The sequence below is a fragment of the Homo sapiens genome, chromosome 3 (assembly GCF_000001405.40).
Source record: "Homo sapiens chromosome 3, GRCh38.p14 Primary Assembly".
Lineage (NCBI taxonomy): Eukaryota > Metazoa > Chordata > Mammalia > Primates > Hominidae > Homo > Homo sapiens.
The window spans coordinates 19,958,020-19,977,785 of record NC_000003.12 but is presented as its reverse complement, the minus strand read 5'-3'; the positions used below and the strand labels follow the sequence as shown (position 1 = coordinate 19,977,785).

The 19,766-nt window shown below is 39.6% G+C and overlaps 1 protein-coding gene across 3 annotated transcripts in view, besides 3 other annotated features; it reads right to left on the bottom strand.

The window, feature by feature from the left end:
* Positions 1-19,766, bottom strand: part of RAB5A (RAB5A, member RAS oncogene family) — a 38,079-nt gene that overhangs the window by 7,390 nt on the left and 10,923 nt on the right. The window contains exons 2-4 of one of the 3 annotated variants that reach the window (XM_047448648.1): positions 7,069-7,238; positions 2,034-2,185; positions 1,617-1,739 (exon numbers count right to left, since the gene is read on the bottom strand). In XM_047448648.1, coding sequence (XP_047304604.1) covers positions 1,617-1,739; positions 2,034-2,087 — 177 coding nt within the window. In that variant the 5' untranslated portion in view covers positions 2,088-2,185; positions 7,069-7,238. The remainder of the gene's footprint in view (positions 1-1,616; positions 1,740-2,033; positions 2,186-7,068; positions 7,239-19,766) is intronic. The other 2 variants (NM_004162.5, NM_001292048.2) reach the window with 2 other exon arrangements.
* Positions 8,887-9,056: an enhancer, noted in NCBI's record as "experimental_67732 CRE fragment used in MPRA reporter constructs". NCBI's record gives its function as "activates a minimal promoter by MPRAs in K562 erythroleukemia cells, with activity observed for the introgressed 3:20010307 variant allele {active_cell/tissue: K562}" and the evidence as "EXISTENCE:reporter gene assay evidence [ECO:0000049][PMID:34662402]".
* Positions 9,099-9,268: an enhancer, noted in NCBI's record as "experimental_67730 CRE fragment used in MPRA reporter constructs". NCBI's record gives its function as "activates a minimal promoter by MPRAs in K562 erythroleukemia cells, with activity observed for both the introgressed and non-introgressed 3:20010095 variant alleles {active_cell/tissue: K562}" and the evidence as "EXISTENCE:reporter gene assay evidence [ECO:0000049][PMID:34662402]".
* Positions 16,800-16,969: an enhancer, noted in NCBI's record as "experimental_67724 CRE fragment used in MPRA reporter constructs". NCBI's record gives its function as "activates a minimal promoter by MPRAs in K562 erythroleukemia cells, with activity observed for both the introgressed and non-introgressed 3:20002394 variant alleles {active_cell/tissue: K562}" and the evidence as "EXISTENCE:reporter gene assay evidence [ECO:0000049][PMID:34662402]".

The following is a 19,766-nucleotide window of genomic DNA, read 5'->3' as shown; positions in this document are numbered from 1 at the left end:
TTACAGTTTACATATATTATTACTTTTGATCCTCATAGCTGTTGTGAGGGGTAACCAATGATCTTTCCCATTGGACAAAGAAACAACTGAGGTTCCTCTGAACTGTTATGTGACAGGGCCACTTCTGACTGTAATTTAAGTGTTTTCTCTGCCACTCTTGTGCTGGGAAGGCAACAATTTTGGAAAGAGTAATGGATACTACATCTCACATCGTTGTCCTAAGAATTAAATAAAATTACAAATGTAACATGCCCAACTTAATACCTAATGATGCAAGAATACATGGATTCCATCTACGTCATCAAAAAAGAAAACTATTTCATCACTGATATATACAGAACAGCCACAACCGCCCTTCTAGTAGAGAAGCCAAAGAGCAAGAGAACAGGCACAGTTTTAAAAGGTCTAAGTATGCCGGGCGTGGTGGCTCACGCCTGTAATCCTAGCACTTTTGGAGGCGGAGGCGGGTGGATCACAAGGTCAGGAGATCGAGACCACCCTGGCTAACACAGTGAAACCCTGTCTCTACTGAAAACACACAAAAAATTAGCCAGGAGTGGTGGTGGGCGCCTGTAGTCCCAGCTACTTGGGAGGCTGAGGCAGCAGAATGGCGTAAGCCCAGGAGGTGGAGCTTGCAGTGAGCTTGAGATTGCGCCACTGCACTCCAGCCTGGGCAACTGAGCAAGACTCCATCTTAAAAAAAAAAAAAAAAGTCTAAATAGAGGACTTGCTTTGTTTTTAAGTGATTGCACTTGCCTATTTTGCAGCAGCAAACATTCTGAATTAGCAATCGTAATACAAAACTGGATTTTCTCAGCCTTAAAAAAATTTTTTTTAATTATTAGTTTTTAGCTTATTATTTTCCAACTCTGGATACAGATTGGCAGAACCTTTATGTTTGAATGCCCCTTTAAGAACAACCACATAAGTGTTTGCGTATGTACATATGTGGGGTACACACATGTGCTGATACATATTTGCACATGAGTAGAAGAGGGTTAGGACATAAAGTATGTGTGGGATGGAGGAATTAGGGCAGGATACAATCACTTTCTGCACTGTGAACAATGACTACTTTTACTGTTTTTCTTTTTTATTTTGAGACGGAGTTTTGCTCTTGTTGCCCAGGCTGGAGTGCAATAGTGTGATCTTGGCTCACCACAACCTCCGCCTCCTGGGTTCAAGAGATTCTCCTGCCTCAGCCTCCCAAGTAGCTGGGATTACAGGCATGCACTACCATCTCCAGCTAATTTTGTATTTTTAGTAGAGACAGGGTTTCTCCAAGTTGGTTAGGTTGGTCTTGAACTCCCAACCTCAGGTGATCCACCCACCTCGGCCTCCCAAAGTGCTGGGATTACAGGCGTGAGCCACTGAACCCGGCCTTTATTGTTTAAGTCTACAAAATCTTTGGGTCAGTTTATATATTACAATAATCTATTTAAAAATTTAGGTTTATCAGAAACATTTTATTATATGTAGTACTTTATATTTGTTTTAAAAATCAGTATTTTCTATTACTTGCATGGTTTTGACATTATAACTAATTCAAGTGTTGACATGAAAGAAAAACATACAGGAAAAAAGTGCCTTTCAAATGAGAGTTAAATTTAACATACCTGGAAATCTACTGCTCTTTTATTTGCTAGGTCGGCCTTGTTTCCCGATAAAGCTATTACAATGTTAGGACTTGCTTGCCTCTGAAGTTCTTTAACCCAATTTTTTGCTCTTGCAAAGGACTCCTGTTAAACAAAGAAACAGCCATTGAGCACAGGCTCAAAAAATGGTTACCAAGCATCTTTGTGATACAAGGCTTTAAAAGACTGTCCCAAGTGACTGTGGGAAAGAAATTATTAGGACTATTGTATTATGAGACATTTTCGTTTTTTTTTAAAACCAGATTTTCTAATTCACAAAAGCTTCAGCAGAAAGGTCATGACTATCAGAAAAAGATTTTCCAAAACATTTAATCAAAATTCTGAACACCAAAAGTGGGTACTCAAATTAGTTTTACTGTGGAATGCATCCATACTTACCTCATTTGTGATATCATATACAACTATGGCTGCTTGTGCTCCTCTGTAGTACATTGGTGCTAGGCTATGGTATCGTTCTTGACCAGCTGTATCCCATATTTCAAACTTTACTGTAGTGTCATCAAGACATACAGTTTGGGTTAGAAAAGCAGCTGAAAGAAAAGGACTACAATAAGTCAATCATTTTTCTCCAAATGTTTTCATAATATAGAAAACACCTGCTTGTATACATCTATCAAAATGTCACACTGTACCCCGTAAGTATGTACAACTATTATGTGTCAGTTAAAAGTAATAAATGAGGGGGGAAAAAAAAAGAAAACACCTAGAAACTTGACAGATTGCATACCCACAGCTGATAATAGCTTTAAATACTGGCAAACCTGTGCTTCTAAGCTATTTACATATATGCTTACATATAGGGCCTTTGTAGTGAAATCACAGATTGAAAAACTTCTGCATCTTAAAAAAGCTTGTTATAATACTAAATAAACTTAAGACTACATTTCTTTTCCTTCTTCTTTTTTTTTTTTTTTTTGATACAAGAGTCTCAGACTAGAGTGCAGGGGCGTGATCTCAGCTCACTGCAACCTCCGCCTCCCGGGTTCAAGCAATTCTCCTGCCTCAGCCTCCTGAGTAGCTGGGACTACAGGCATGCACCACCACACGTGGCTAATTTTTGTAGTTTTAGTAGAGATGGGGTTTCACCATGTTGGCCAGGCTGGTCTCGAACTCCTGATCTCAGGTGATCCGCCCACCTTGGCCTCCCAAAGTGCTGGGATGACAGGCGTAAGCCACCAAGCCCAGCGAAGACTGCATTTCAAAATTGCTCTACAATTAAAGAAATGCACTGATAGTCTTAAAAAATGAAGTTGGGGGAAACCCAGTGTGCCTAAAAGTACCATCTATACTGCTGACACCATGTCCTGTTCCATTTTACTAGTTTTTATTGGCGCACACTGGCAATTTAGTCCCAGTCAGTTACCACCAAATTAGTATTTCTTGTTATATTATCTTTTTTTTTCTTTTTCTGAGACACAGTCTTGCTCTATCTCCCAGGCTGGAGTGCCTCCCAAAAGTGCTGAGATTATAGGCGTGAGCCACCGTACCAGGCCTCTTGCTATATTATTTTTTAAAACATTGTGACACTTTAATTGTGGTAGTCATTATTACCTTAACCTAGATTTAATTTGTTCAGTTGATTCAATATTTGCTCCTACCTTTCATTCCCTGCCATAAGAATTTTTTGGATCTGTACTTTCCCTGATTCTAATTTTAACACTAGGAAAGTAGCATTATAGGCCAGGCGTGGTGGCTCATGCCTGTAATCCCAGCACTCTGGGAGGCTGAGGAAGGCAAATCACGAGGTCAGGAGATCAAGACCATCCTGGCCAACATGGTGAAACCCTGTCTCTACTAAAAATACAAAAATTAGCTCGACATGGTGGCGCTTGCCTGTGGTTCCGGTTACTCGGGAGGCTGAGGCAGGAGAGTCGTTTGAACCCATGAGGCAGAGGTTGCAGTGAGCTGAGATCGCACCACTGCACTCCATCCTGGCAACAGAGACTCTGTCTCAAAAAAAAAAAAAAAGTAGCATTATAAAATGATACAATATTGTTAAAATTAAAAGACCTACACACAGCCATTAGACCGCCCTCTGCTGCTGCTCTATCATTCACTGTAAATTGGTATGCTCCTCCCTTCCTTCTACATTTAGCTCAAGGTGTGATATTCAAGCCCTATTTCCAAATTGGTATGCACTTGAATTACCATTTTCTAAAACTGTCATATTATGCAAAAGAATTATGATATATTTCTCTAAATTACAGCCGTTTATCTAGTGACGTTGATAGAGATGTACTAACCAGTATCAAATGTGCTAAAGAAACAAAGTCTAATGAGATATATCTCTTTTACGTTAGACACAACATTTATTTTTCACGCTCTTTTAGGTTAACTGGTTGCTGGCTTTAGTATCAACAACTAAAATCTTCTGAATTTTGCAAACAATACTGTAAACATCTTCATTTGGACCTAGATTCTAATTAATAGTTTTATGAATTCTCATTAATCACATTGTAAATATATTCTAATCCAGTTCAAACTTTTTTTTAACCAACAATTAGCAGAATTGTCCATTTTCTAAAATATTGTATTTATGGTAAAGGATATCCAGACAGCACTATGTCACTTTTTGAAGGTCACGAGAGGTTCTCCTGTAGGATCAAAAAATGTTTTTAAACTAAAATTTTAAACTAAAATTAAGTCCCTAAGACAGTACTCTTACCAAAAAGGAAAAGAGGAAAATAAGTCACAATACATAAGCCTTTTTTCAAGTATAGTTTGATGCAGACTTGCAAAAAAAAAAAAAGGAATTAAAATGTGCACAGACTGTTTCATTTTTCAGACATACTATGATCACAAAGTCTACTAGTACTAAAAACATTCACTTATACGTCCATAAGTAAACTTCAGGCTCAGGGAAATAACTATAGTCATCCCTCAGTATCTGTGGAGGACTGTTTCCAGGACCTCCCCATATATCATGAAGGACTGGTTCTAGAATCCCCAATGGATAACAAAATCTGAGGATGCTCAAGTCCCCGATATAAAATTGCAAAGTATGTGTATATAACCTAAGCACATCCTCCTGTATACTTTAAAGCATCTCTAGATTACTTATAATATCTAATACAATGCCTGCACCTCACGTCATCCACATAGATTCAACATAGTATTAAGTGTGTGGCAAATTTAATTTTTGCTTTTTGGAGCTAAGTTAATTTTTTCCCCCTTAATATTTTCAACTTGCAGTTGGTTGCATTTATAAATGTGGAACTCACAGATTCAGAGGGCCAACTGTATTAGAGATGTTGCCTTAAAGAAAATATGATCCAATTCTCAAGCCAGTTAAAGACACAAGAGGCCACCATACATGTACACCATACATGTACAAAAATGCCAAATACAAAGAAATTGCAACAAATACATTAAGACAAACAAATGCCCATTACCAAGTACATTCTTTCAGAAATACAAAACTATTACATTAACAGGCTAATGAAGAAAAATCCATTTTATTTAAACAAATTACAAAAAGGCATTTGAGTCAATATCCATTCCTAATAAACACACGAGATTCTTCCTTATGGCAAAACAGGGCATCATTCCTAAATCTAGGAACAAAACCAAGGGAAATCATGCTGAACAGGAATGGATCCCATTCAGATTAACAAAGAAGATAATCAATTCATTCCTCAACTCTGCTTAGAAACCTTCCTTCATTCCACCCTAGTTAATATCTCCTACATCTGTGCTCCCAGAGTTCTCTGTGTAATAACGTTTCACACCTTTTATAATCATTGGTTTATATCTTTTTCTTCTCCTTGATTGGGAGTTACTTGAGCAATGACCACAGGTTAAGTATCCCTTATCTGAAATGCTTGGAACCAGGAATGTTTTGGATTTTTAAAGATTTTGTAATATTTGCATAATGAGATATTTTTGGGAAGGGATCCAAGTCAAAACATGAAATTCGTTTGTTTCACATAAAGCTTGTACACATAGCCTGAAGCTAAAATAATTTTGTGCATTAAACCAAGTTTATGTACACTGACTCATCAGAAAGCAAAGGTGTTAAGTGTGGAAATTGTTCACTTGTGACATCATATTGATGCTCGAAGAATTTGGGAGCATTTCAGACTTCAGATTAGGGATGCTCAACTTGTAGTAGCTCCTCTCTGTACCAACATTTAATATAAATCCTTGTTCATACAGATGTTCAAAAATGTCTACTAAAAGAAGGAAGTTCAAAAAGATACATGGAACCATTTAGAGGCTACTTCAGATAACATTTGAATGTAGAGAGAGGCAGCTCCCAAATGTGAAAAAATAGATATTTCACAAGGTATCTACTCAAGTTGTAACACAACCTCAAAAACAACATCAAGATATTTTTCACCTGATAACACTGTACTGGGCCAGGTGCGGTGGCTTCCACCTGTAATCCCAGCACTTTGGGAGGCCGAGGCAGGTGGATCACCTGAGGTCAGGAGTTTGAGACCAGCCTGACCGGTATGGCGAAACCTCGTCTCTACTAAAAATACAAAAACAATTAGCCAGGCATGGTGGTGCATGCCTGTAACCCCAGCTACTCGGAAGGCTGAGGCAGGAGAATCACTTGAACTCGGGAGGCAGAGGTTGCAGTGAGCTGAGATTGTGCCATTGCTCTCCAGCCTGGGCAACAAGAGTGTAACTCTGTCTCAAAACAACAACCACCACCACCACCACCACCACCGTACTACTGTTCATGTGGTATGATAAAGCATAATTTTGGGGGAGAAAAGACCAACATTAGAGGCCAGGGAAAATCAGTTTTATAATATACTTTAAAAAATGAAAAGTGCTACAGTACTAAATGAACAGAAATATTACTGGAATAGTGTAGCCCACTATAATAAACTCTTGATATACATAATACACCCTAAGACGTTCATGATTTCTCAAAGTCCTAAAGTTTTAAAATACTACTATAGTGTTTTTTTTTTTTTTTTTTGAGATGGAGTTTAGCTCTTGTTGCCCAGGCTGGAGTGCAATGGCGCGATCTCGGCTCACTGAAACCTCCGCTTCCTGGGTTCGAGTGATTCTCCTGCCTCAGCCTCCCGAGTAGCTGGGATTACAGGTGGCCACCACCACGTCTGGCTAATTTTTGTATTTTTAGTAGAGATGGGGTTTCACCATGTTGGCCAGACTGGTCTTGAACCCCTGACCTCTGGTGATCCATCCGCCTTGGCCTCCCAAAGTGCTGGGATTACAGGCATGAGCCACCACACCTGGCCAAATTCCACTACAGTGTTTAATTTCCCCTATAAAACTCGGTGAAGTGTAACTGACATTTAGGTGACATCTTCAAATCCTCAGTGCTCCTAAAAATACATTACTAGTAATTTATAAAGTTACGTAAACAAATTCTGCCACTGAAAAGATAAAACTACTACATCAATACTGTAGCAACATTAACCAACCACAAACTTACCTGAATCTGTAAAACCACTTTAATTTATCCAAAACGTCTATTTTCTGGCTAAGAACCATCACTCTTAGACCGCTTCATTTTCTCTTCACTTCCATCACCAGCACTAGCAGTTGGTTTTCTTTTCGGGCCCATATTTCACAAAGAAACAGCTTTTATCACTTCGAGAGTTACTGTGTACGCGATGACAAGTAGAGAAAAACAAAGCTGCGTTGAGATGTGGGTGCTGGCCTGTCTGATAGGCTCCCTCTGAGCTACGTGATCAGCTCCTATTTGCAAGCCTGGCAGCAAGCAAGTAACATTTCAGCCTCAGCAAAACTACAAATTACTTTACCACAGACCCTGGAATCAGGTGAGAATAGCTGAAGCTTTAAATGTCAAATCTGCAAATACCAAAGGCCTATTATAATATGCAAGACTTAAACAGTAAGCCAGGGGAAGACACTGTAACACACTGGGCAAGGGAAAGGATATTCAAATTGATGGCATTAAACCAAAGATTAATAATTAAAAAACAAAGTGGCTGGGCATAGTGGCTCACGCCTGTAATCCCAGCACTTTGGGAGGCCGAGGTGGGTGGATCACAAGGTCTGGAATTCAAGGCCAGCCTGACCAACATGGTGAAAACCCGTCTCTACTAAAAATACAAATTAGCCGGGCATGGTGGCCGAGGTGGGTGGATCACAAGGTCTGGAATTCAAGGCCAGCCTGACCAACATGGTGAAAACCCGTCTCTACTAAAAATACAAATTAGCCGGGCATGGTGGCATGAGCCTGTAATCCCAGCTACTCAGGAGACTGAGGCAGAAGAATCACTTGAACCCGGGAGGCAGAGGTTGCAGAGCCGAGATTGTGCCACTGCACTCCAGCCTGGGTGACAGAGTGAGACTCCGTCTCAAGAAAAAAAAGAAAAACAAAGTAACCGCCACCCCATAACTAAAATGATTCTACATGAATTAAACAGAAAGGGGAAAAATACAAAAACTGAGAAACCATACAACTTCAAGCCCAAACTTATTATTTATCAAAATTGACAGGAAAGAATTGCTTTATTAAAATTGACCAAAATTCTATATAAGACTACAGATTTGATTACACAAAAATATGAAACTTCAGGTTTGCAAAACTTGTGTCATAACATCCATAACAAAGGGGCAAACCTAATGAGAAAAATTTCTACAATGGATGCTAAGTGATTAGTATTTTCAATGTGTAGAAAGCTATTATAAATGTTTAGAAAAACTTTAGAACCTCAGGGATAAATGTGTAAAGACAATTCACAAAAGAACAGAAAAGGAGACCAGTAGTCAATGAAATCATCCACATAGTCAAAACAATTTTTATCTCCTAAATTAGCATAATGAAAAAATAAAAATACAGCAGGCATGGTGGCTCACGCCTGTAATCCCAGCACTTTAGGAGGCCGAGGCAGGTGGATCACTTGAGTTCAGGAGTTCAAGACCAGCCAGGAACATGGTGAAACCCTGTCTCTATTAAAAAATACAAAAATTAGCCGGACGTGGATGTGGGCGCCTGTAATCCCAGCTACTTGGGAGGCTGAGGCAGGAAAACCGCTTGAACCCAGGAGGCGGAGGTTGCAGTGAGCCAAGATCGTGCCTTTGCACCCCAGTCTGGGCAACAAGAGTGAGACTCCATCTCAAAAAAAAAAAAAAAACCAAAAAAAAAAAACCAAAACCAAAAAACACCAATTTGCAAAAAACCCAAGCACAGCTGGTGATTTCGTACAACTCCGTTGGAAAGGATTTTGGCAACATGTAGCAAAGGCAAGAAAATGCTAATACTTTTTAACCTAATAATCTCACTAAAATTCCAAAAGATAGTGTGAGGGCAGGAGAGTAGGTAGAACAAACTTTTATGCTCAAAGAATTTAAAACTATTTAATAATTAAAAACAACCTTGTTAGTGAAATGAAATCCATCATCAAGAATTGGAAGTAAGGCCGGGCACAGTGGCTCATGCCTGTAATCCCAGCACACTGTGGGAGGCTGAGGCAGGAGGATCACTTGAGGCCCAGAGTTTGAGACCAGCCTGGCCAAAATGGTGAAACCCTGGCTCTCTATTAAAAATACAAAAATTAGCTGGGCATGGTGGCACGTGCCTGTAGTACCACCTACTCAGGAGGCTGAGGCATAAGAATACCTTAAATCCTGGAGGCGGAGGTTGCAGTGAGCTGAGATTATGCCACTGCATTCCAGTCTGGGTGACAGACTGTCTCAAAAGAAAGAATCAGAAGTAAAGTAACTTGTGGGGAAAGAATGTAAAGAAAACACTGGGTAGTTTGGCTAGAGTATAATAAATCAGATTTTCTGGTTTTCAAAAATTTGAATTGCAGTAAAAGGAAATTTCGATGTGCTATTTTTTTCAATTTTCGGTAGTAAATAAATGTGTATAGAGAAACAATAATATAGACTGTCATATTTGAGTACCTTTAAAAAAACAATCCCAATGTGTAAGTGAAAAAAAATACTAGTAACTAAGTATTAAGTAGCAATTAAATTAAAACTAAAAGGAAAGGATGCATGCAGTGACTAGAGAGGGGAGAAAGGGTCTTGTTCAAAATTTCAGAAATAGAATGAGGCTTTGTGATAAAAAAAAATTCAAGTTAGAGATTGTTAGAATCAGGTACTAAAGTTATCAGTGAAGACAGAAATTGGTTCACTGGGAAAATGAGTACTAACAGCAGTAATCCGACATAACAGATTTTCTCAGACAGATAAGCACTAACTTCAGATGATAAAATTACACACAGAGAAGAATCATACATAGCCGAAAACAGGAAAAATAAAAACTGAGGCCATTTTTATTTCCTATGAAAGTGTGTGTATACAGGAAGCACCCAGTGAATGGACTGCAGAAGCGACAGTCGTGAGTGTAGTTAGGGAAGAGTTACATTGCAATTAATGTGAGGAAGAGTAAGAAATAAAAGTAGAATAGGGCTAAGTATTACTCAGCACCCAGGAGGGAAAAAAGAAAAAATAAGGCACAGTAAAGCATACACACTGTGAGTAAACCCAAAAAGAGAATATTCCAAAAGCCTAACAAGAAAATAAAAAATTATTATGTAGATAGCATACAGAAAGACAGCAATCTTCCCCAAATTAATCCATCTTAAGAGGTGATCTATACTAGTTTATCTACAATTCACTCTTAAAAATCAATGAGCATCTGATAAGGGACTGAAAGCTAGAACATATTAATGTAAGGAACTCCTACAACTCAGCAACAACAAAAAACCTGATTAGAAAATGGACAAAGGGCCGAGCGCAATGGCTCATGCCTATAATCCCAGCACTTTGGGAGACTGAAGTGGGTGGATCACCCGAGGTCAGGAGTTCAAGATCAGCCTGGCCAAAATGACGAAACCCTGTCTCTATTAAAAACACAAAAATCAGCTGGACGTGGTGGCGGTTGCCTGTAATCCCAGCTACTCTGGAGGCTGAGGCAGAAGAATTGCTTGTACCCAGGAGATGGAGGTTGCAGCAAGCCAAGATGGTGCCATGGCACTCCAGCCTGGGCGGCAGACTGAAACTCCATCTCAAAAAAAAAAAAAAATGGACAAAGGACTTGAATAAACATTGATCCAACGGATATACACAAATGACCAATAAGAGCTGGGCACAGTGGTTCACAACTGTAATCCCAGGACTTTGGAAGGCCAAGGCAATAGAACTGCTTAAGCAGGCGTTCAAGATCTGCATGAGCAATATAGTGAGACTCTGTCTCTATAAAAAATTTACATAGCCAGGCATGGGGGTATGCGCTGGACTACTTGGGAGGTACAGGCAGAAGAATCACTTGAGCTCAGGAGGTCAGGCTGCAGTGTGCTGTGATCATGCTACTGCACTCCAGTCTGGGTGACAGAGTGAGACCCTATTTCAAAAAAACCGAAACAAATAAATAAATAAATCCAATAAGCACATGGAAAGATGTTCAATATCACCAATCATTAGGGATATGCAAATCAAAACCACAAATTACCACTTCACTGCCACTAGAATGGCTATGATCAAACCAAGAGAAAAAGGTAAAGTGTGGGTGATCATGTGGAGAAACTGGAACTGCTTTGCAGCTGGTATGGAAAACTGTATAGAGATTTCTCAAATATATTAAAGATAGAATCACCATATGATCCAGCAATTCCTCTTACGGGCATACATCCAAAAGTAGTGAAAGCAGGAACTTAAAACACTCTTTGTACACCAATGTTCACAGCAACATTATTCATAACAGCTAAAGATGAAAGCAACCTAAGTGTCCAATGATGGACAAGCAAGATGAAGTATATACATACAATGGAATATTATCCAGCCTAAAAAGTTTTAGGAAGGAAAATTCTGGCACTTGCTTTACAACATGGATGGAACGTTGAGGACATTATGCTAAATGAAATAAGGAAACCACAAAAGTACAAATACTGTACAATTCTATTTATGTGAGGTAGCTAGAGTAGTCAGAGTCAGAGAGAAAAAGGTGAATGGTAGTTGCCAGACACGGGAAGAAGGGGTAGTTATTGTTTAGTGGGTGCAGAGTTTCAGCTAGGGAAGATAAAGTTTTGGATAGTTACACAACAATGTTAAAAGTACCTAATACCACTCAACTGTATATTCAAAAATGGTTAAAATGGTAAATTTTGTGTTACGGATATTTTACCGCAATTTTAAAAAGAAATCTGGGTAAGGCGCAGTGGTTCACACCTGCAGTCCCAGCACTTTGGGAGGCCCAGGCGGGTATGCTGCTTGAGCCCGGGAGTTCGAGACCAGCCCGGGCAACATGGAGAAATCGTTTCTACTAACAAAAATACAAAACAGGTGTGGTGGCGTGCACCTGTAGTCCCAGCTACTGGGCGGGGGGTTGGTGGGAGAGGTTTGTGGCTCAGGCAGGAGGATCACCTGAGCCTGGGTGGCAGTGAGACCCTGTCATCCCGTCCCCATCCCAACCCCTGCCCCAAAAAATAAAGGAAGGAAGGAAACAAATATAAAAATCTATGAGCAACATCTAAAGGTAATAGTTGTGAAACAATTTAAAATCCTGAAGAATATTAATGATACACAGGGAAGATCCTGCATGAAGTCAAGAGTGAGGTAAAGAATAAAAATTAGCATTTCTCCAACACTGTCTAGGATAAAGGATATTGAGAAGTCAATGCTTTTTACTATCACAGCTTGACAGCAACCCTTACGGGACACCCAACTCTAAGGGAATTCACTAACCAGTACATAAGACAGTCAGCCACATGTCACCAGCTGAACATCGTCGCCCTAAGTTTTTTTTTTTTTTTTTAAGACAGGGTCTCCCACTGTCACCCAGGTTGGGGCAGTGGTGTAATCATAGTTCACTGCGCCCTTGAACTCCTGGCCTCAAGCAATCCTCCCAAGTCAGCCTCCAGAGTAGTTGGGACTATAGGCACACACAACCACACCCGGCTAACACTAGGTATTTCTAACATACTGATGCACATTGTTTGAAAATTAATCTTAGGGCCGGGCACAGTGGCTCACACCTGTAATCCCAGCATTCTGGGGGGCCGAGGCGGGTGGATCACTTGAGGTCAGGAGTGCGAGACCAGCCTGGCCAACATGGTGAAACCCCATCTCTACTAAAAATACAAAAATTAGTCGGGCATGGTGGCATGCACCTGCAATCCCAGCTATCTGAGAGGCAGAGACAGGTGAACCCAGGAGGCAGATGTTGCAGTGAGCTGAGATTACACCACTGCATTCCAGCCTAGGGGACAGAGCGAGACTCCGTCTCAAATAAATAAATAAAGTAAGTAAGTAAGTAAATCTTAGGAGTTTTGGCTAGGCATGGTAGCTCCCGTCTGTGTAATTCTAGCATTTTAGGAGGCCAAGGTGGGACCTGAGGTAGTTCAAGACCAGCCCGGCCAACATGGTGAAACCTTGTCTCTACTAAAACTACAAAAATAAGCCAGACGTGGTGACATGCGCCTGTAGTCCCAGCCTCAGGAGGCTGAGGCACAAGAATCGTTTGAACCAGGGAGGCAGAGGTTGCAGTGAGCCAAGATCACGCCACTGCACTCCACCCTGGGTGACTCCGTCTCAAACAAATAAATAAAATTAAATTAATCTTAGGAGTTTGTTAGTATTAAGTTAGTGCCCCAAACCTGATCTCCCTAGAATAAACTGATAAAGTCAGTATGGGCGCCTTCAGGGCTAAGACCCTGTGATTGCCTCACCAAGTGGCATAATCCTAAGAAAGTCTCTGCTCACCAGATTAGATTTACGTAACAGGAACGTACCAAAACTGAATTGGGAAGAAGAATGAAAGAACACATTACAAAAACAAAGGGTATTTTTAAAAAAATGACAGGGTACGAGTTATTAACTAGAATCAGATAAAGGCTACCAAACAAATATCAACAGAGAAAAGGTTAAGGAAATTAGCTTAGCTTTAAGGGATATATAGATACAGATATATAGATATCTATAGGTAGGTAGATATATAAGTATCTACAAAAGACATTTTATCTATAGGCAACAGATACTTTACTGAACAGTTCAATAGTACTTCACTAAACTTGTCAAATGTGCAAGGATAGCGCCCAAGCTATTTTGCATACCAGGATTCCTTCCCTTCTTCTTAGTGATACCCCTTTTCTCCTGGTTCAAGAACCTAGCACATAATGCTTCCTAGCCCTCAAGAGAATCTTCCAGACCTTTAAAACATTACTGGCCTTCAAAGTGATTCTTTCATGCTTGGCAGTAAGCTTACATACTAAATGAATTTAAAAGTTCTAATATTTGGCTGGGCACAGTGGCTCACACCTGTAATCCCAGCACTTTGGGATTCCTGTCTCAGGAAGATTGCTTGAGGCCAGGAGCTCAAAACCAGCCTGGGCAACATAGCAAGACTCCATCTTAAAAATAAATTAGCCAGGCATGGTGGCACATGCACACGTAGTACCATCTACTTGGGAGGGTGAGGTGGGAGGATCATTTGAGCCCAGGGGGTGGAGGCTGCAGTGAGCCATAATCATGCCACTGCTCTTCAGCCTGGGTGACAGAGGAAGACCTTGTCTCTCAAAACAAAAACAAAAGTTCTGATATCTGAGAATTTTACAACATAATAGAAAAGAAGACTAAACAGAGAGGGAAAACTTTAAACTCCTATTAACAGTTAGAGGAAACCTGTAATCCTAGGATATAATTATCTATGCCAACCCCCAAAGAAACTGGATGTATCTCTAAGGGATGAAAAAGGATGAAGATTAGAATTCTTTTGATCCTACAAAACAATTTTATTAGGATAAAATTCCTTTGGGTTCAGTAATCACCTCTAGAAATTGATCTTACGAAAATAAGTCGGGGGGGGGGGGGGTGAAATTCTAAGATATCCCCTATTAGGTGATTACCTAAAACAGCAAACAAAAAAGCAAACATTAAATGCCCAACAATGGAACAGTTAAAAAATAATAAAAAGAGAAGATTGCCAGATACTAAAATATGACAATATAGATGTACTGAGAAATATTACCATTAATAAATCAAATGGAACACAGTAGTGTGACTATTATAAAGAAATCTACATAGAAGTAACATGAGGTTATGAATAGTTCACAGAAAAACTAAACACAGGCTGGGCATGGTGGCTCATGCCTTTAATCCCAACACTTTGGGAGGTCAAGGTAGGAGGATGGCTTGAGGCCAGGAGTTTGAGACTACCCTGGGCAACATGAGAACCCTTCTCTACAAAAATTTAAAAATCAGCCAAGTGTGTTGGTGCATACCTGTAGTCCCAGCTATTTGGGAGGCTGAAGTGGAAATATCATTTGAGCCCAGGAGTTCAAGGCTGCAGTGAGCTATGACAGCGTCACTGCACACCAGCCTGGGCAAGTGACACCCCGATTCAAAAAAAAATCAAAAAAGAAAAGAGAAACCAAACACACTGGGCTCTAAAAATATATACTGCAGATATACTCAGAATATGTGAGAAATTACTGCTGTTATTTAGTACAGTACTATTATAGCCAAAGATACAACAATGTGCATATCTAAAACTAGAGAACTGATATTACTAATATGACCCATGCAAGGGAATACTGTTACAGCCAAGAAAAATGCGGACGTTCTTTTGATATAGATAGGTCTTACGGCAGACAGTACTTTTTTTTTTTGAGATGGACTCTCGCTCTGTTGCCCAGGCTGAAATGCAGTGGTGCAATCTCAGCTTACCACAACCTCCACCTCCCAGGTTCAAGCCATTCTCTTGCCTCAGCCTTCCCGAGTAACTGGGACTACAGGCACGCGCCACCATGCCCGGTTAATTTTTGTATTTTTAGTAGAGAAGGGGTTTCACTATGTTAGTCAGGCTGGTCTCGAACTCCTGTCCTCGTGATCTGCCCACCTCAGTCTCCCAAAGTGCTGGGATTACAGGTGTGAGCCACCACGCCCAGCCTGTAGATTGTATTTTCTAAGGCAGCTGCAACAAGACATTCTACACCACATTCTTCTTACAGTGTGATGTTGACACTCTTCCCTTGAATCTGTACAGGCCTGTGACTAGAATAGAACAGATGCTATCTATCTATGTGACTTCTGGAGCAAAGTCATAAAAGGCTACTACATGTAGGTGTGTTCTAGCTAACAGCCCCATCTGAGGTCCCAACCAATAGCCAGCACCAACTGCCGGATGTGTTGAGATGATTCTTGCCCCGTAATGAACTGCAAGAGCAAGGAAAAGATCAGAGTGAGAACCACCTACTAAGCCCACTCACCAGAACCATGGAGATGACAAAATAATTTTAAGTCTCTACATTTTGGAGGAGTCATTTGTGTCTCAGCAATAGATAACTAGAACAGCATTAAAGTGAAAAATAAAAAGTGTATTACAGTACATCTGACATATTTCAAATTTTGTAAAAAGGGAGACAAGAATATATAGATTTGAGTATAGTAGTAACTTTGCAAGGATATATAACAAAGTAACATCATCTTTGGGAAAAAGAACTGAGTGGGCTAGATAGAAGATGAGGGGGAGATTTTTCACTGTAAACCTTATAAACTTCTTGAATTTTGACTCACATGAACAAATTAATGCATTTGATTAAAGGCAGTTAAAATATAGCGTGTGACACATGATGATGGCATAAAAATGAAAATGGTGGTGATAATTTAGGAATATGGACAATTTAAATAATCGTCTTATATTCTTTTGTTCTCAAAATACTTTCACATTATTTTCCTTAAGTGATACATAGCAAGAAGGCCCCTACCTGTCAAATACTACATATTATTTAACAGAACACTTGTCATGTGTACTCTAACTATGAGCCAAATTTTCTAGTCTGATAGGTTCTTGCAAGGAGAAATACACACATACACAGTACATTCCAGAACATGAATGGCATTTCAGAAAGATGTCTTTAATCCCAGCTGTCACCTAGTTGCAAAACTTCAAGCATATACTTAACCTTTATTGCTTCAGTTTCCTTGTCTATAAAATTAGTACCTTCCCATATAGCCATGGTAAGGTACAGATGAAACTTCTGAAAATCCTGTTTAAGTTCTAGGAATGTATCACATAACAAGTAATTATTATAAGTGTCCTATCTTTAAATTATCCTTTATTTCCTAGAAGTCACATTTTTCTAAAATTTACAAATTACTTATGAATGCAATAGAGGAGAAAATTCTATTCATGTTATACCTCAAATAAAAACGATAGTAACTAGGTGGAATATATTCTGGCTCTAGTTTTATGCAAAGATAAAGAACAGTTTTTTGACTGAGAAAAGCTGAAGGTGTCTGATAATTATGCAGTGACTAGTCATGTATCAAGATTACCCACTTCTTCTTTGGGGCCCAAAGAATATCCAACAACTACTACTGCGAACACTTAAGGCTTAAAAAACCATGAATAACTAACCGGTTCTTCATCCTGCTTCTACCTTTCCTCAAACGGAGGATGAATGCTGTTTAGCAACACTTACTTCAGATATTCTGATTTGTAGAGCATTCTTATTTTCAAAGTCCAACATATGACTTCAGTAACACTTAACTTTCATCTTGAGGAATTTAGCAACTAGGTAACTAAAGTTTACATATACATCAAGGTAGCCAATGAATTAAAAGACAAAAAATGATGCCTGAAAAAGTGGCTTACGCCTGTATTCCCAGCACTTTGGGAGGCTAAGGCAGGTTGATTGCTTGAGCTCAGGAGTTCGCGACCAGCCTGGGAAACATGGAGAATAGCCATCTCTACCAAAAATACAAAATTAGCCGGGGGCAGGGGCACACATGCCTGTGGTCTCAGCTACTCAGGAGGCTGAGGTGGGAAGATGGCTGGAGCCCAGAAGTTGAGGCTGCAGTGAGCCATGATCATGCCACTGCACTCCAGTCTAGCACAGAGCGAGACCCCATCTCAAAAACAAAAACCTTTAGAAGTACTCTTATTGCTTTTCTTACTCTCACACATCTTTATTCTCCTTCACAAAGAGGTTTGCTGAAAAGGCTTTTGATGTAACTCCAAATGATACTATCCTATCATAAATTTACTCAGCATACTTCATAAACAAGATTATGTATATGCAATGTCAGGTTATTATGGTATATGACCTAAAAAAGGGAGAAACAGTTTGCCAAAATTTCCCATGTTTCTATCAAGTAAGAATTCTTATTCTATTCTAAAAGCAAAATTTTAAAACACTTCCCATCCCACAGCCTCCACCAATTATTATTCAAAACCAAGTGTCTTTCATGTGCCTCTGAGTGTGTCTCCAAAAAGATCAATTATCTGGAAACCTTATATATTCAGAACACAGCCTAGCGCGGTGGCTCATGGCTATATCTCAGCACTTTGGGAGGCCAAGCCAGGAGATCACTTGAGGTCAGGAGTTTTAAGACCTGCTTGGGCAACACAGCAAGACGTCGCCTCTACAAAAATTTCAAAATTAGCCAGGCATGGTGGTGCACACCTGTAGTCCCAGCTACTTGGGAGGCTGAGGTGAGACGACTGCTTGACCCAAGAGGCTGAGGCTGCAGAGAGCCATGATCACATCATTGCACTTCACCCTGGGCAACAGAGCAAGACCCTGCCTCAAAAAAAAAAAAAAAAAAAATCAGAACACAACCAGAAAGCTAGCAAAAGAAGAGTAAATGCAGCCAGAATAAATCTCACAAAGTCCATGCACTAAAGGTTATGCAAATTTACAGATTTCCTCGGAATGTAACTGAGACCACTTTCTATGTATATCTTCTTTTGGAGATTGATTTATATATACATACATATATATATATATAAATTAGTACATAACAAGAAGATCAGTTGGAGATTTAGGCTTAATTTTTAAAAAGTGGCATATAATATCACTTTTAAAAACCTTTAATATATAGCACCAGATTACAATGTTCACTCAATCTGTCTCTCAAACTATACCAAGAAGTTGTCCCTGATTTCTAGTTTTAGAATCATCAGAGATGATTTCTGGTTTTATTTTGATTTGCTTTAGACAACCTAATATTTCCCATATATAACAAATAAAAGCAGTAAATTAGTGAATCAGTAGCAGTTCACTAAGAGCTATTTGGCAAAATCATTCTACCAAACAGCTTGAATACTTCCAAAGCACCAGAGGACATCAACACATTAAGCACGGCAAGGCAAAAACTGATGCTCATAATGATTCCAAATCTTGAAATACATTTTAAGAAAACAAAAGTTAAATTGTATTGACTGTATTGTTTAATGAGAAGAGTACACAGTTTATAAGAACATCTGCTCTACAAGAATCCTTTTTTCTTTTTTTGAGACAGAGTCTCGCTCTGTCACCCAGGTTGAAGTGCAGTGGTGCGATCTCAGCTCACTGCAACCTCCGCCTCCCAGGTTGAAGCAATTCTCATGTCTCAGTCTCCCCTACCTCAGCGCCCTGTCACCCAGGTTGAAGTGCAGTGGTGTGATCTCAGCTCACTGCAACCTCTGCCTCCCAGGTTGAAGCAATTCTAATGCCTCAATAGCTGGGATTACAGGCACATGACACCACGCCCCACTAGTTTTTGTATTTTTAGTAGAGACAGTGTTTTGCCATGTTGGTCAGGCTGGTTTCGAACTCCTGACCTCAGGTGATATGCCTGCCTCGGCCTTCCAAAGTGTTGGGATTACAGGCGTGAGCCACCACACCTGGCCTACAAGAATCCTTACCTAGAGTTCAATACTCTCGTGTTACAAATGTGTAAACAGAGTTCACATAAATGCTTATGAAAGCATGTGAGGATTAGAACCATGCATACTGACTCCCAGCTCACGGGAATGTTTAAGTAGCCACATATGATAATATTTTAACCTAAGAAATTGGGGAATAATTAAGACTACCGAAAGATTTTTTTAGGTTGTGATATAAATTTGAAATATCAAATCTCTACCAACTTCTCTGGGTAACAACCTCTCAAATTCTGAATATGTACTTTTTAGGAGAAAATATGATGAACAAAGATATTATTATTTTGCTTGAAACCAAATGATTAACTTCCACAAATTTTAACTATCAATGTATCAGAAAGTAGAATGAATACTTCAAACACACAATTTTTCTCACGAATCAAAAACCACATGCTGGTGGTTTGGTCTCTAGGTCTTCTATCCTTTCTCAAAAGCACTTTTAACAATGTGCACATGCAAAAAGGTAAAAGCACATTAAATAAATGCACAGATTATAATTATACAAAGAA